The sequence below is a fragment of the Homo sapiens genome, chromosome 15 (assembly GCF_000001405.40).
Source record: "Homo sapiens chromosome 15, GRCh38.p14 Primary Assembly".
Taxonomy (NCBI): domain Eukaryota; kingdom Metazoa; phylum Chordata; class Mammalia; order Primates; family Hominidae; genus Homo; species Homo sapiens.
This window is the reverse complement of record NC_000015.10, coordinates 77,046,932-77,061,439: the sequence shown is the minus strand read 5'-3', so window position 1 is coordinate 77,061,439 and position 14,508 is coordinate 77,046,932. Positions and strand designations below refer to the sequence as shown.

General features: G+C 38.0%; 1 protein-coding gene across 4 annotated transcripts in view; it reads left to right on the top strand.

The window, feature by feature from the left end:
• TSPAN3 (tetraspanin 3) overlaps positions 1-14,508 on the top strand; it is a 29,706-nt gene that overhangs the window by 9,670 nt on the left and 5,528 nt on the right. Inside the window, exons 1-6 of one of the 4 annotated variants that reach the window (XM_017021857.2) lie at positions 5,207-5,270; positions 5,303-5,376; positions 5,577-5,651; positions 7,161-7,262; positions 8,511-8,663; positions 8,972-9,055. In XM_017021857.2, the coding sequence (XP_016877346.1) occupies positions 5,207-5,270; positions 5,303-5,376; positions 5,577-5,651; positions 7,161-7,262; positions 8,511-8,663; positions 8,972-9,055 (552 nt within the window). Of the gene's footprint in view, positions 1-5,184; positions 5,377-5,576; positions 5,652-7,160; positions 7,263-8,510; positions 8,664-8,971; positions 9,056-14,508 lie in introns of those variants that run through there. The other 3 variants (NM_005724.6, NM_001168412.2, NM_198902.3) reach the window with 3 other exon arrangements.

Genomic DNA, 14,508 nt, shown 5'->3' with positions numbered 1-14,508 from the left:
TCTCCTGCCTCAGCGTTTCTGAGTAGCTGGGATTACAGGCATGTGCCACCACGCCCGGCTAATTTTGTATTTTTAGTAGAGACGGGGTTTCTGCATGTTGGTCAGGCCGGTCTCGAATTCATGACCTCAGATGATCTGCCGGCCTTGGCCTCCCAAAGTGCTGGGATTACTGGTGTGAGCTACTGCGCCTGGCCCAGATTTTAACATTTTATCTACTTGTCTCTTTCATAGAATATTTGAAAATTACCCCCCCAAAAACTAGTTTCTAAGCTATGGAAAAAGCAATCTCATATAAGAATGAAATCTCTTTAAGATATTTCACATTTGTGCATATGTAGAGGAAGGGTAAAAGCATAAAATGAAGTATCATACTTTTGGAACTCATATACTTGCAAAATTTTATAACAAGATGGCTTTATTTTTTAGACAGCTTAGTGGAAAAGCACTGGCTCTCCTAAAGTTTTAAAATGTTGTGACTTAATTTAGAGTATAGGCTTATTAAAAGATAAAGAATAATGGTTTTTTAAAAATTATTCTTTCTGTAATTTCAGACCTCAGCCTTTTGCCTAAATTTCCTTTCACTTCTTTGTAAAAAGGATGAATATTTTTAGTACACTGTCCTGGCACAAATCCTCCTTACAGGCTCAGATTTTCTCAGTGGTGACTAAAGCAGTTCAGCTGCTTCCAAGTTCTACATTTCATCTCCTTTTCTGTTGCACCTCCCTCCTCCCCAGCCCCCTCCTTTGCAGCTGCTTTATTGGCAAAGCTCAGATCCTTTGATAGATCTCAATCCCATCATGGCCCTTCAAAAGAAGAATTTAAGCTCACCTTTTATATAGCTTTTCTGATAGCCACAATTTCTGCATTAAAAATCTGAGGGATGACAAAGTCCCTATGCATACTAGTTAGGAATTTCTTAGAACCTCTCTTCCATTTACTATACTGTTTCCCATGTTCTTTTGGGTGTTTTTCATATTGATGGTTGGATATCATTACAACAATTACTTTTGGCTGTTTTTAGGTCTTCAGCTGCTACTGGGATACCTCTTCTATATTTTCAAAGTAACCAGTGTCATTTCATAATTGTTTATTATACAGCTTAAGATATAAGCACCATATACAGATTTCAGTAAAAGCAAAATTTGAAGCTGTTTTCAATTTAGGAAACACATCGTCTATTTATAAGCAATTTGATGTGTATAGTTTCATATCAGCAATCCGTGCAGTTTTCTCTTTGGTGTGTGCAACTAGTAAGTTCCTTTAACTATATGTTGCCAAATAGAGCTTTGTTATGTTCTCATCTTGTTGTGTGACTTGGATGTTGACTGCAGCCTGGGAAAAAAAACTGTTGTAGAGTCTATCAGAAAAGAAGAGGCAGCTTTACAAATGGCATCTCCCCACAGCCCTCCATTGCATTTGTTGTGCATCTGGTTGTCTCTGTTGCTGGTTTTTCTGCTTTCTTGTAGTCTCAGTTTCAGATGAGTGCCTCTTTTAGGGGGGAGAGGCAGTGGCAGCAGAGGAAACATTTCCCTTGGCCCACCTCCAAGCAGCACTAAGTGTGAGTCTCATAGGAACCTCTTTAGATTGAAAACTCATCAATTTATATCTAAAATGCAAGTAGTTCTTCAGTGAACTGTGCTTCAGGTTGATTGTTAAGTACATATGGCCTCCAGTTTTCTCTTATTTTCATTCGAATTTACATAGGCTAAAGCTAGTGAAGTTTCAGTAGGTGTACCGAAAGCTCAGAAATGGAATTCATTTTAACTCAAGCCTTTTAAGAAATAAATACTGCCTTTTAGAGTAAAAAAAACCTACAACATTAAAGGATAGAGAAACGTCTAATAAAAACAAATGACAAAATTTGATTAATTTGCACTTCAGATTGCTTCTAATTTAGCGTGAGGACTGATACTATTTACTTTAGCAAAATGTGTGTGTGTACATGTGTGTGAATATATATCACACAAGTAGTCAATAAAAAGGGGTATTTGGGAAGAGTGTTAAGTAGTTGACATACTTCTGTAATAAATGCACCCAAATTAAAATTAAGCTATGTCTGGCCAGGCGCAATGGCTCACGCCTGTAATCCCAGCACTTTGGGAGGCCGAGGCGGGCGGATCACGAGGTCAGGACATCGAGACCATCCTGGCTAACACGGTGAAACCCCGTCTCCACTAAAAATACAAAAAATTAGCCAGGTGTAGTGGCGGGCGCCTGTAATCCCAGCTACTCGGGAGGCTGAGGCAGGAGAATGGCGTGAACCTGGGAGACGGAGCCTGCAGTGAGCTGAGATTGCGCCACTGCACTCCAGCCTGGGCGACTGAGTGAGACTCCGTCTCAAAAAATAAATAAAATAAAATAAAATTAAGATAAATTAAACTATTTCTCTTCTCCACTCCCCCCCACTTTTGTGCTCACCTTCATTCTCTAGTACCATGCCCCAAAAGCAAATATGTCAGTGAACTCTGAGAACCTTTGAACAGGCAGTTTGCTGTAAGTACAGTGTTTATATTTATGACATATTTACGATATATTAACATATTCCAGATGTAATGGCCATCAGAATTCAGCAAGCTGGATTCAGTTGCCAAATAATTGAATAGTGAACTAAAAGCTATAAGCATTGAACTGAAGAGAAACCAGATACAAACCAAATACAAATACAAACCAACGCAAATACAAACCAAAGCTTATGATAGAGTTGGGAGGGTGATTTCAAGGGAAAGGGGTGAGATGAGGTGTACTCAATAAACTTTAACTGATACCTGCTGTCTGCCAAGTACTGTTCTAGATGATACAAGGGTGAAGGACAGATGGGTACAATTCGTGCTCTCAAGGTGTGTTGAGACAGGTATAGCTATAATTGCAACCGTTTCGATAAATATTCTGTTAGAACCATGCACTGGGAGATGTTTGTGTCCACCAAGGGCAGCTAATCCAGCCTGAAATGGTCAAGAATGGCTTCCAAAAGGAAGAGGTAACATTTAAGCTTCATCTTAATGAGCGACAAGGAGTTCCCAGGCATTTGAAGAGAGCATTCTAGAGAGAACAGCGGAGGCAAAGAAGTGAGAGAATATGTGGTCCATTTGGGTATAACAGTTCTATATTGTTCATAGTTCACAAGGGGTAATGAGATCTGGGGCTGAAAAGGAGGAATAGCTTGGTTCATCGGGGACTCACTTGCCTCATCCTGATTTTAAGTAAGGCTATGGCTTGATCTGGTTTGTATTTTTAATAAATATAACCCTGGTAGTATAAAGAATGTATTAAGATGCAGGGAGAGTCAATAAGTAAGATTTAGGGGGATAAGATAAGGCCCAAATTAAGACAGAAGCACTGCAGTGGGGTTGAAGAGGAGTTGAGGTATTCGAATAATGTTTTGGAAGTAAAGTTGAAGTTTTGTGATTTATGGGTTATAGAGGTGGGGCAAGGAAAGTTAATCCTCAGATGTTTGACCAGAAAAATTAGATGTCTGGTACCTTTTGCTATGATAGGAATGTAAGGGAAGATTAGATGGGCTGGGCAGGAAGGCAGAAAGGGTTTGAGACAGGTTGAGGATGACATGTCTCTGGAACTTGCAGATGGAAATGTGTAGTTCTGAGATGATAGCTCAGGTAGTGAGCTACAATGACTAATGAAGCCATAGCTGCTGTAGCCCACGGAGAGCCCAGAGAATGACTAAAGAATAAGGCCGAAGACAGAATCCTGGAGATCACTAACATCTCAGAGTCCGTGAAGAGAATGAAAAAGTGAGCACCTGGGGAAGTAGGAAGAAAACCAGCAGTGGGGCCTCTTGGAAGCCAGAGGAAGAGAGTTTTAAAACAATGTTTTTAAAAATTGCCTTCATTATTCTAGTTGTCTTCTCACTTTAAAAAGTTCATGTTACATTTTAAAAAATCAAATTACTTTCCCAAATTTACATAAATGGAGTCTTTTTCTTCCTCATCTGACAGTGATCCTAATGGCCTAGTGTAAAAAAATATACTGATGATCCCCAAGCTTACTGAATTTCATAAACTTAAATGATCTGGGTTTTCAGGTTCAGAGAAGTTAATGATATTTCCAGTATCACTGTGGCAGCTGTTTCTAGTTTGAAGATGATTTATATGTTAAATTTTAAAGGATGATGAAATACTTCTTGTGAAAGTTTCAAAGTACTCTACAAATGATAACTCATTGTTATCCAAGTGATAACCAAATGTTTTAACACTTACTCTGACACTGCATTTGCTTGTTTGTATATGAGCCAGTGGCATTGGGCTGTCAGCACAGAGCTGGTACCCAAAGATAGCAAAATTGACAATAGCGGAGAAAGTAAGACTCTGCAGCTGGAGAATGATGCCTGGAGCAGCAGCTGAAATAAGACACACCTATCACTTGTCTTTGTGTGTTCACTTTCCCTTTAGGTCTTTAATACCTTGTTACTCAGAGTGCGCTCCAAGAAGAAGCTGCACCAGCATCACCTGGGAACTTGTTAGAAATGCAGACTCTCAGGCTCCTCCTCAGACCTCCTGAATCAATCTGCTTGTTATTCAGATCCTCAGGCAATTCCTATTCACTTCAAAGTTTGAGAACCACCATTCTAAAGAATTGATAGAGGACTTGCAGTGTTCTTTAATGACTGAGCCCTCTAGCTTTGCCATTTCACTGTCTCTAGGACAGCAAGATTTTTGGAAGTGGGGTGGGTATCATGCTTACTAGTTGGTGTATTTTCTTTTCCTTGAGGTGGGGTAGATAGAGATTAGAAGTGTAGATTCTGGAGTCAGATTGCCTGAGTTCAAATCCAAGCTCTGTCATTTCTACCAAATTTCCCCACTTATTGAGGGCAACTGTAGTGAGCAAAGATCCCCCTACCACCATACTGATCCGTATTGGATGTGGAATTGAGCTACAGTAAGCCTTTAGGGATGTGTAGGTGTGTGTCATCATCATTGTTATTATTTGGTTATGGTTTCTTGGTCCTAGCTGAACCATCAATTCGTGAAAAGTAGGTGAAGTGTGGATAACTTTTTAATTTTATCTAGTATAGAAATGCTCTTAACAAGGAATCATAGAATTTTCAGCTTTACTGAAAAAAGTCTATAACAGTTACGGTAACTCTCATTAAATTATACCATACTAAGCAATAATAGGAAATTTTTACCAGCAGTGCTTAGAGACCAGTACTGACTTTGTTTTCTACAGGGGGCAGCTGGCATTTTATGCTATGTGGGAGCCTATGTCTTCATCACTTATGATGACTATGACCACTTCTTTGAAGATGTGTACACGCTCATCCCTGCTGTAGTGATCATAGCTGTAGGAGCCCTGCTTTTCATCATTGGGCTAATTGGCTGCTGTGCCACAATCCGGGAAAGTCGCTGTGGACTTGCCACGGTAAGATGTGTTGTGAGAACATGCAGGAGTATTTAGTCTATGCTACTCTCCTTGAACATGAGACTCCTTGGCTCTTATAGTTGGAACAGAGTTAACATTTAAACTTCTAGCAATTATCTCTGATAACTTTTTTTAAATCAAGAGTGTATTTAAAGTTATTTTTTCATTTGTATATAATTTTAAACCATGTTTTCTTACAGTTTGTCATCATCCTGCTCTTGGTTTTTGTCACAGAAGTTGTTGTAGTGGTTTTGGGATATGTTTACAGAGCAAAGGTATGTTGTCTACTGTAATTCACATAATGCCTTAAAAGGTGGTTTAAGTGTTTCAAGTAAAATAGAACACATTCATTTTATCAGAGTAAACATTTTCTTTTGCCTTACTTGTTTAATCTGTATTTCAAATATCTAAAGTTAATTGGCAAATATTTACATGTCAAGACTCCTTACCTCATTTAATATAGCAGAGTGTTATATATGTATTGTTCTTGATTATAGGTATTTATAGCTGCAAATGAATAATTAGCTGAGAAGTTTGTTCAGATTTCCTCAGCACACAGATTGCCTATATGAGGGGAGGCATAATTTTCTGATTTCTGCTTTAGAAGAACCAAACTCAGAATTGCGTTTTCCATTGTCTCTTTAAAAAATGCTTTGGTCCTAAACATAGAAAAAGGTGTTGTGAGTTGTGATCCCACCTTCCACCCCTGTCCTGAGGAACAAGGGGTCCTGCCAACTTAGAACACCAAGGCAGCTGGTGCCAGCACTCCTTTCTTGCCCTTCATTCTTTTTAATCATTTCACCGTTCCTTCCTTTCTATTTTGCCTGATTTTGCTGTCTACCTGTAGTACTACTTAAGGCTAAACAGGCTGCTTTAAATTAATTAATATGGGTATAATTTTAGAGGCATGGTAAAGACATAATAGACTCATTCTCATTATAACTTAATGGTTTTGAGTCAAGGGCATAATATGCCAAGTTAATTTTCAGATCATTGATACGTAAGGTACTGTAAAGCTGTGCTAAAAAAAAAATGCAATGGATTATGTCCCTACCTATGATCTGGTTATCAATTTTATGGACTTATGATATTACTGTTGTAATTACCAGATAAGTCCAGTCCTCCGAGGGGTAAGGAGGATCTGGTACAAGCAAACTTTACTAAGTGATACTTGCTTGCCATTTTAGTAATTGGCAGCAATAAGCTATGAAGCTTGTTTCCTGTCTCCTTTTTGCAATACATTGAACAGTAGCTTTTTCATAAAGTGCCATTTCTAAGGACTGATTTTTTTAAACCTGCCGATTACTTTTGCACATTTAGCCAACTCTAAACGTTGAATAAATAAAATGGAAATAATGTTGGCATTTGTCCTAAAAGTATCTTACAGGAGCTTCAGAGTTACTTTGTTTTACCTCCTTTAGGAAAGGAAAATGAGTAACTTATTTGTAAAAGGAAGGCATCCATTTATAATTTAGGACATCTATCCCAAGCCTCAACTTTTCTCCCTTTTGAATACATTGTTAGCCTGCCATTTTGCACACAATCTTCTCTTTGAATGCTTGAATGTATGTGGTATATGTCTGAATTTTTACCTGTCACTTTTCTCCCTCCTGCCTTCATCTATATCTATATGAAGATGAAGGCAGGAAGGGAGAAAACTTTACAGGAAATTCATAGATATCTGGCAACTTGCAAACATTTCATTTAAGTATTTTAGTAGGAGCCTTGACTAATGTTACTTTTACTAGTATTTTTGAGGGACTGAATTCTTTGTTCTGATTCAGGTGGAAAATGAGGTTGATCGCAGCATTCAGAAAGTGTATAAGACCTACAATGGAACCAACCCTGATGCTGCTAGCCGGGCTATTGATTATGTACAGAGACAGGTGAGCTTTCTTGAGGCAGATTTGTTTTTGAGGACCAATCACGATTGGGTCAACATTAAACTAACTGCTATTTCTGTGTAAATTAGCCATGTTTCTTCACATACATGGCTATCCTGATGTGACCAATATTTTTCCCCAACCTTCACCCTTGAAAAGTTTATTTCATCACCTAGCCAGATGAGAAACATCTTGAACTTTTTTTTATCATCTGATTTCCCCTTCCCTGACCCCAGTCTGTACTCTCCCAAAGTACTTAGCCAAAGGGGTGATGACGCAAGAGAGAGGTATGTGTCACAGGAAAGGTGGGAGTCCAGATTGACTCCAGGGGAGGTGGGAGGTCTATATATACCTTTAGAAAACAAGATAAGAAAAGGCAACAGAAAAACTGTCAAAAAAAAGTTGTTATGGACAGTCTGATACACACAAAGGTAGAAAGAATAGTGTAATAGATGTTTGCACCCCGACCTTGCCTCAGTAATATCAACTTTTCGTCAGTCTTATTGCCCCTACTTACTTTTTGCTTCATTATCTTAAAGCAAATCTCAAAATTTTTAAGACCAAATATTTTAAATACTTTGTCATTGGAAATAATATTTAACATGGAACCAGATATTTAACATGTAAGACATGAAGATTTTCCTTAGTTAGAAACTACCGCTTATAGGCAATGTACTTTTCTTTTCTTTTTTTTTTTTTTTTTTTTTTTTTTTTTTTTTTTTTTTTTTTGAGATGGCGAAATTTCACTCTTGTTGCCCAGGCTGGAGTGCAGTGGCGCGATCTTGGCTCACTGCAACCTCCACCTCCCGGGTTCAAGTGATTCTCCTGCCTCAGCCTTTGTATTTTTAGTAGAGACGGGGTTTCACCATGTTGGTCAGGCTGGTCTTGAACTCTTGACCTCAGGTGACTCGCCCATCTCGGCCTCCCAAAGTGCTGGGATTACAGGCGTGAGCCACTGCACCCGGCCTGGCAATGTACTTTTCATATGGAGATTCTGGAGCCACTAGCCATGTCTGGCTGTTTACATTAAAATTTAAAATGCAGTTTTCTAGTCACACTAGCCACAATTTAAGTGCTCAGTAGAGCTTCATGTGGCTAGTGGCTGCTATATTGGATCATGCAGACTTTCCATTATAGAAAGTTGTATCGGACATCACTGGTCTAGAGTAGCTTATTTTAAAGCTCTGTAGTACATGGAACTTCAGGTATTTGGTTTTTGTGAGAAATAATACTTATTCTCTTCTCCTTTAGCTGCATTGTTGTGGAATTCACAACTACTCAGACTGGGAAAATACAGATTGGTTCAAAGAAACCAAAAACCAGAGTGTCCCTCTTAGCTGCTGCAGAGAGACTGCCAGCAATTGTAATGGCAGCCTGGCCCACCCTTCCGACCTCTATGCTGAGGTGAGTCTCTTGGCCACGACTTGAGTCTAGCTTGATTAACCTGTTTTTCACCATGTCTTATCACCATCTGGGACTTCTTTTCTGCCACCTTGCTTGTCTTTAATGTCATATATTGTTTTACTGTAAATTATTATAAAATGCATGTCTTTGTTTTAATTACATGTCTGTAAATTATACCAATCATGGAATCTTTTTTCCACTCTTTCAGTTTCTGTCATTTTCCTTTCTGTAAGTGGGTAGTGGCCTGTGAATCTGCAGCTTTAACTTTTAAAGAACACTTCTAACGAGGATGACTGTGTTTGTTACAGGGGTGTGAGGCTCTAGTAGTGAAGAAGCTACAAGAAATCATGATGCATGTGATCTGGGCCGCACTGGCATTTGCAGCTATTCAGGTAAGCACAGCTTGCCAAGGAGTTCTATCGGAGTGAGTTGGTTCTCTGTTGTCAGCCCTGAATGGTTTTAATCCCCATCACAGTGAATCTTTGTGTATGTAGGTAATGTGGAAGTGACTGAGGTACTGGCCTCCAGTTTCCCATGTTTTCCATTTCTTGTCTATACACCTAGACCCGGAATGGTCTAAAGAAACCAGAAATCTGGATGGGGAGGGACCACGTGTTGAGGGAACTCCTCGTCTTACTGTCTTTCTTGATTAGTGAGTGACCTGTTCAAAACATAAACGAACTGTTGTCTTAGTGTATTCTTGGAAGATATTTTATTAGAATGTCACAAAATTTTTAAAAATTGTACTTCTTTCTTTCAGTTTGGGAATACAAAGCTTTATTCAGTTTTTTTGTATGCTAGTTCTCCCTCTAGTTCTTGTTTTTCTGTCCTCACAGGTTTTATATATTCATATACGTAAATCAAGAACTGGTACTACAGCACTGGTCTCTTGCACTAAACACAACAACTTTTAAAAATAGAGACAAGGTCTCACTCTGTCACCCAGGCTTGAGTGCAATGACATGATAATAGCTCACTGTAACTTTGAACTCCTGGGCTCAAGCGATCCTCCTGCTTCAGCCTCTCCAGTAGCTGGGACTACAAGCACGGGCCACCACACCAGACTAATTTTTAATTTTTTTTTTTTTTTTCCAGAAATGGGGTCTCATTATGTTGCCCAGGCTGGTCTCAAACTCCTGGCCTCAAGCAATCCTCTGTCTTGGCCTCCTAAAGTGTTGGGATTTACAGGCGTGAGCCACCGCACCCAGCTTATGCTTTCTTTTCTTTTCTTTTCTTTTTTTTTTTTTTACGACAGAGTTTTGCTTTTGTTGCCCAGGCTAGAGTGCAATGGTGTGATCTCAGCTCACTGCAACCTCTGCCTCCCAGGTTCCAGTGATTCTTCTGCCTCAGCTTCCCAAGTAGCTGGGATTACAGGTTCCCGCTACCATGCCCAGCTAATTTTTGTATTTTTAGTAGAGACAGGTTTTTACCATGTTGGCCAGGTTGGTCTTGAACTCCTGACCTCAGGTGATCCACCTGCCTCGGCCTCCCAAAGTACTGGGATTATAGACGTGAGCCATCGCGCCCAGCCTCAGCTTATGCTTTCTTAAGCCTGAAACCTATTTCAAGAGCTAAAAGAGCCAGGTGTGATGGGTTACACCTGTAATCCCAGCACTTTGGGAGACCGAGGAGTAGGATCCCATGATGTTAGGAGTTTGAGACCAGCCTGGGCAATAAGACTCCATTTCTACCAAAAAAAAAATTTTTTTTAAAAAAGAAAAATGTAGATAACTTTTATTTGTTAAATAAAACCAATGTAATTGCTAGTTTAAATGTAAGTTGCTTGGATTGCTTGCTCTTTGTATATTTGAACAGAAGCTAGTGTATTTAATGGGAAAGGCCTTTTAAAATGGCAAAAGGATGATTGTTTACTTTGCTGATATTCAGACAGCCCTGAAATGATTCATTAAAAAGCCTACCTCTTTATTTGCCATGGTCTTTGCCCTTCTAAGCATTTACTCTGTAGCTCTGCATAGCAGTAATCTGATGATCAGCAGGGATTTATTTCATATTTTGATTATTTATGCAAACACATTCATTTAGCTAAAAATAATGAAATATGAGGAAGGTCTCTTTTCCCAAATAGAATTCTGAACTGTGCATTCTTAATGATTTTATGTTCAGTAATAAAGCCACATGTACTAGCATGCAGCAAAAAAGTTTTGGAACTGTATGGTACTTGTGGTCATGAAATATGCAACATGTATATAGAAGACTGATAAAAATAATCACTTTAGCTATGTCCCTCATCTAGTTAAGCGGCTTAGCCTGCCAGACATTTCTTTATTAAATATTTTTCAATAGGGGCTAATAAATATTTTAACTAGTCTCTTAATTTAAATATGACTGCCATATGTGTTTTATACTTAAGTCACCCTGACTTAAGTAAAAGCTGATAAAGCTTGATTTTTTCACTTCAGCAAGGCTGCTTAAGTTTAGGGATTCAGAGCTTTCACAGACTCAAAACCTAGTGGTTTTGAAAATTTTAAAAACTTGGGTTTTAAGGGGAGAAAATTTATCTGAATTAATAATTTTCCCTAATTGTTTTTAAGAGTACCTGTAAACATTCTAAGCTTCTGGTATTCAAAATCTGATAGATTGGTGCCCTGGGTGTGGAAAACCTGAACAAAGGCAGAAATAACTGAAAGATCAGTGAGCTTTTGTGCTTATACACTGATCCTAATATAGACATTTAGAGCTGGAGAGGATGGTTGGAGAGTCTCCAGTCTTGGCCCTCTTTGTTTAGCCACAAAATTTTGGGTGAGCAAGGATAGTGTGGCATGACCATCACACAGAGTGTCAACTCTAGAGACCCCTGCCTTTGTTTGTACTCTGCCTCCAATTACAAGTATAAGATTTGCAGAAGATTAAATTCCTAAATTTTGTCAGGAAACCTGACAGTTAATTGACACTTTAGCTGGATAAAATACAGAGGTAAGATGGCAGAGTTGAGTAGTTACAATATTGATTGATTTTTGTCTTGGTTTGGAAAGCCTAAAATATTTATGATATGGCCCTTTAAGAAAATGTTTGGTGACTCTTGCTCTAGTCCATTAAATAATCTAGATTTGGGTAGGACCAAAGTGACCAAGAAAGAAAAACCTGAAAAATACCAATTAATTATAATAACAGGACTTTTGAATATAAAAGAATGAGGTTTTAAAAATTTTGATGTACCCCTTATTAATTAGCAGGATATTTCACTTCTTTGAGAGTAGCCACTCTCTTAACTCATGATCAATTATGAATTTTATATTTAAAGAATCTGGTCATAATAATTGACAAAAATCTAGATTTTGATTTGTCAAGCTCCTGAGTATCTGCTGTGAGTAAGGCTGTCTCTCTACAAAGGCAATACGGGGAAAATGTTCTAAGTCTTTACTTTGGGGTCTCATGAAGTTGGCATATCCTCAAGATAGAACGATCAAGAGCAGATTTCATAAAGAACTGTTTCCCAAGGCCATGTTGCTTTTTTTCTGGTCTCTGTGCCGCATGTGAAGCCGGTGGAGACTGCTCTTTCCTCCTCCTCCTCAATTACCAGTTATTCGTTAAAATGAGAAACTTCCTCCTCCTTCCCCTCACACCCTGGCCAACATTGCAAAATGTTATATAAATGAATTCATATAGTTTGCAACCTTTTGTACCTTCTTAAAAACAAATTAGTGTATTTTGGATATAGATCTGCCTTTTTAATTTCATGTCTGCATAGTATTCCATTTTATAGGCATACTTTAATCAATATTGATGGGCTGTTTATAGCAAAAATTTGTAACTATGAAATTACAGTATCAGAATGTATGAATGAATTTTGATAGGTATTTCCAATTTTTTCTCAGAAAAGAGTGTTTCTAATGTGCAAAAGTTCTTATTTTTGTATAAGAATGCCTATTTCCCCATACCACCAGCAACATGGTATATCATAGAACATTTTACTTTGCCAGTCAGTTTTTTTAATCACCACTAGTCATTTTTTTCAATTTTTGCAGTTGCTGGGTGTTATATTTGGGCTAAGTGAAGTTTAATTCTCATGCCTTGAATATTGCAAGAGAGTATTTCATTGCAAGAAATAATGTTGGAGATAAAATATTTGTGTAATGTTTCCAAGTATGTTGTTGGAATGTTTCAAAAATCAATGGAATTTCAGTATAGCAGGCCTTTGGAAATGAGCCTGTAATAGTTAATGGTGAGGATAAGAAATTATTATGTAGAGCTTAATATTCTTAAGCAGACTGATTCCCAAGCATGAGTAGAATTTTATCAAGTTTATTTGTTTTAAAATCAATACAAGTTGATTTCATTGAAATAAACAAATTGGGAAAGAAATACTTATTTCAGACCTCATTTTGAGAATGCTGGCTTCTCTAATAGAAGTTAACCAATTGAAAGGAGTGTGGGGAGGTGGGGGTGGGAAGAGAGATTTTTTTTCCCTTAGCAAACCAGTCATTTCTGAGCTTAGCATTTTTATTGCTCAATTTAACATTGCCTGAGAACATAATTGCATTTGAGTTTATAGCTGTTCTAACAATGTTTTGATGTACAGAGAACAGAAATGTATTTCTCTAGGAATTAGGTACTTCATCGGTCTAGAATTGACTTAAATTGTTTAGTAAACTTTAAATAATATTCACCTCTTAAGTGTGTTTAAGGTGCTTTGCAAATGGTGAAATGGTGCAAATGGTGCAAGTGGTGAAATAGTGAAACTGATGGATTTGAGCAGGAAATATATATCCCGAATGGGCAGAATATAGGTTAATGTGAGGGTAGAAATTGGAGTGGGTGACTTTATACCATGGAGAATTCAGATTGAGGACATCCTTATGTGTATGTGTGTCTTAGTAGTGGTTAATCTTCCACTTCAAACTTTGAGAGTCTGTTTATGGATTGGGTACATTTTGCGGAAATTAGATTGACCCCCAAATGTACAGAGGACCCTGTCTTTTAAAATCAAATAACTGAGGCTTTTCCTCATCAATGAGAAGTTAGAACAGCAAATTATCTCACAAAAAAATTATATTTTGGGAGAAGGTAGGTCAAAAATTCTAGAATCATTTTCTCTTTAATCCAGCTTAATCCTTTTGCTTATCCAAAATAACATGGCATGACTTTATTACTATTCCAATATGCTACCACAGAAGGTTTAGGACTTATTGAAATAAAATGATGACGGAAGAGTGACCTTTCAAAAGTAATATGTATGTAATACCACAGAACCGTGGATTTCAAAAATAGTGAATGTGAAGGAAACAAAAAACCTTCCAACTACATTTTTTTTGGCATCAGAATTTGTTTTCTACCATAGGGCTATTCACATACTGAATTTCGTTTTCCAAAAACCAAAAGACCTGAAAAGACCACTATTAAACACACACATTCTTGCTCATTCTACTCCCCAGGCCTTTGCTGTCCAGAATGGTAGCCACTAGCCACATGTGTCTACATTTAAATTAATTTAAATAAAATTAAAAGTGCAACTCAGTTGCAGTAACTATATTTCAGGTGCTCAGTAGTCACATGAGGCCACATGACAGTGCATATGTGGTATGTCTCCATCGCTGCAGAAAGTTCTTTCGGACAGCACTCGCTAGACTAGTAGTGGGGATGCCAAATAAGAGAGACTTGATTCCCTGCTGGCTTTACGAAGAGTTCCTGGGAGGGAAGCTGAAGCTTAGGACTTAGTTCCTTAAAAAATAATGTACTCATAAGAAATTCCTTCTATCACTGTTGTTACTGCCTTTTTGATGATTTGAAGTCATTGAACTTTGAAACAGCTCTTTTACCAACAAAGAAATACACACCTGCCATGAGAGGGTTTTCAGCCTTTTTTCCCCATTGTTGTTTTCTTTCA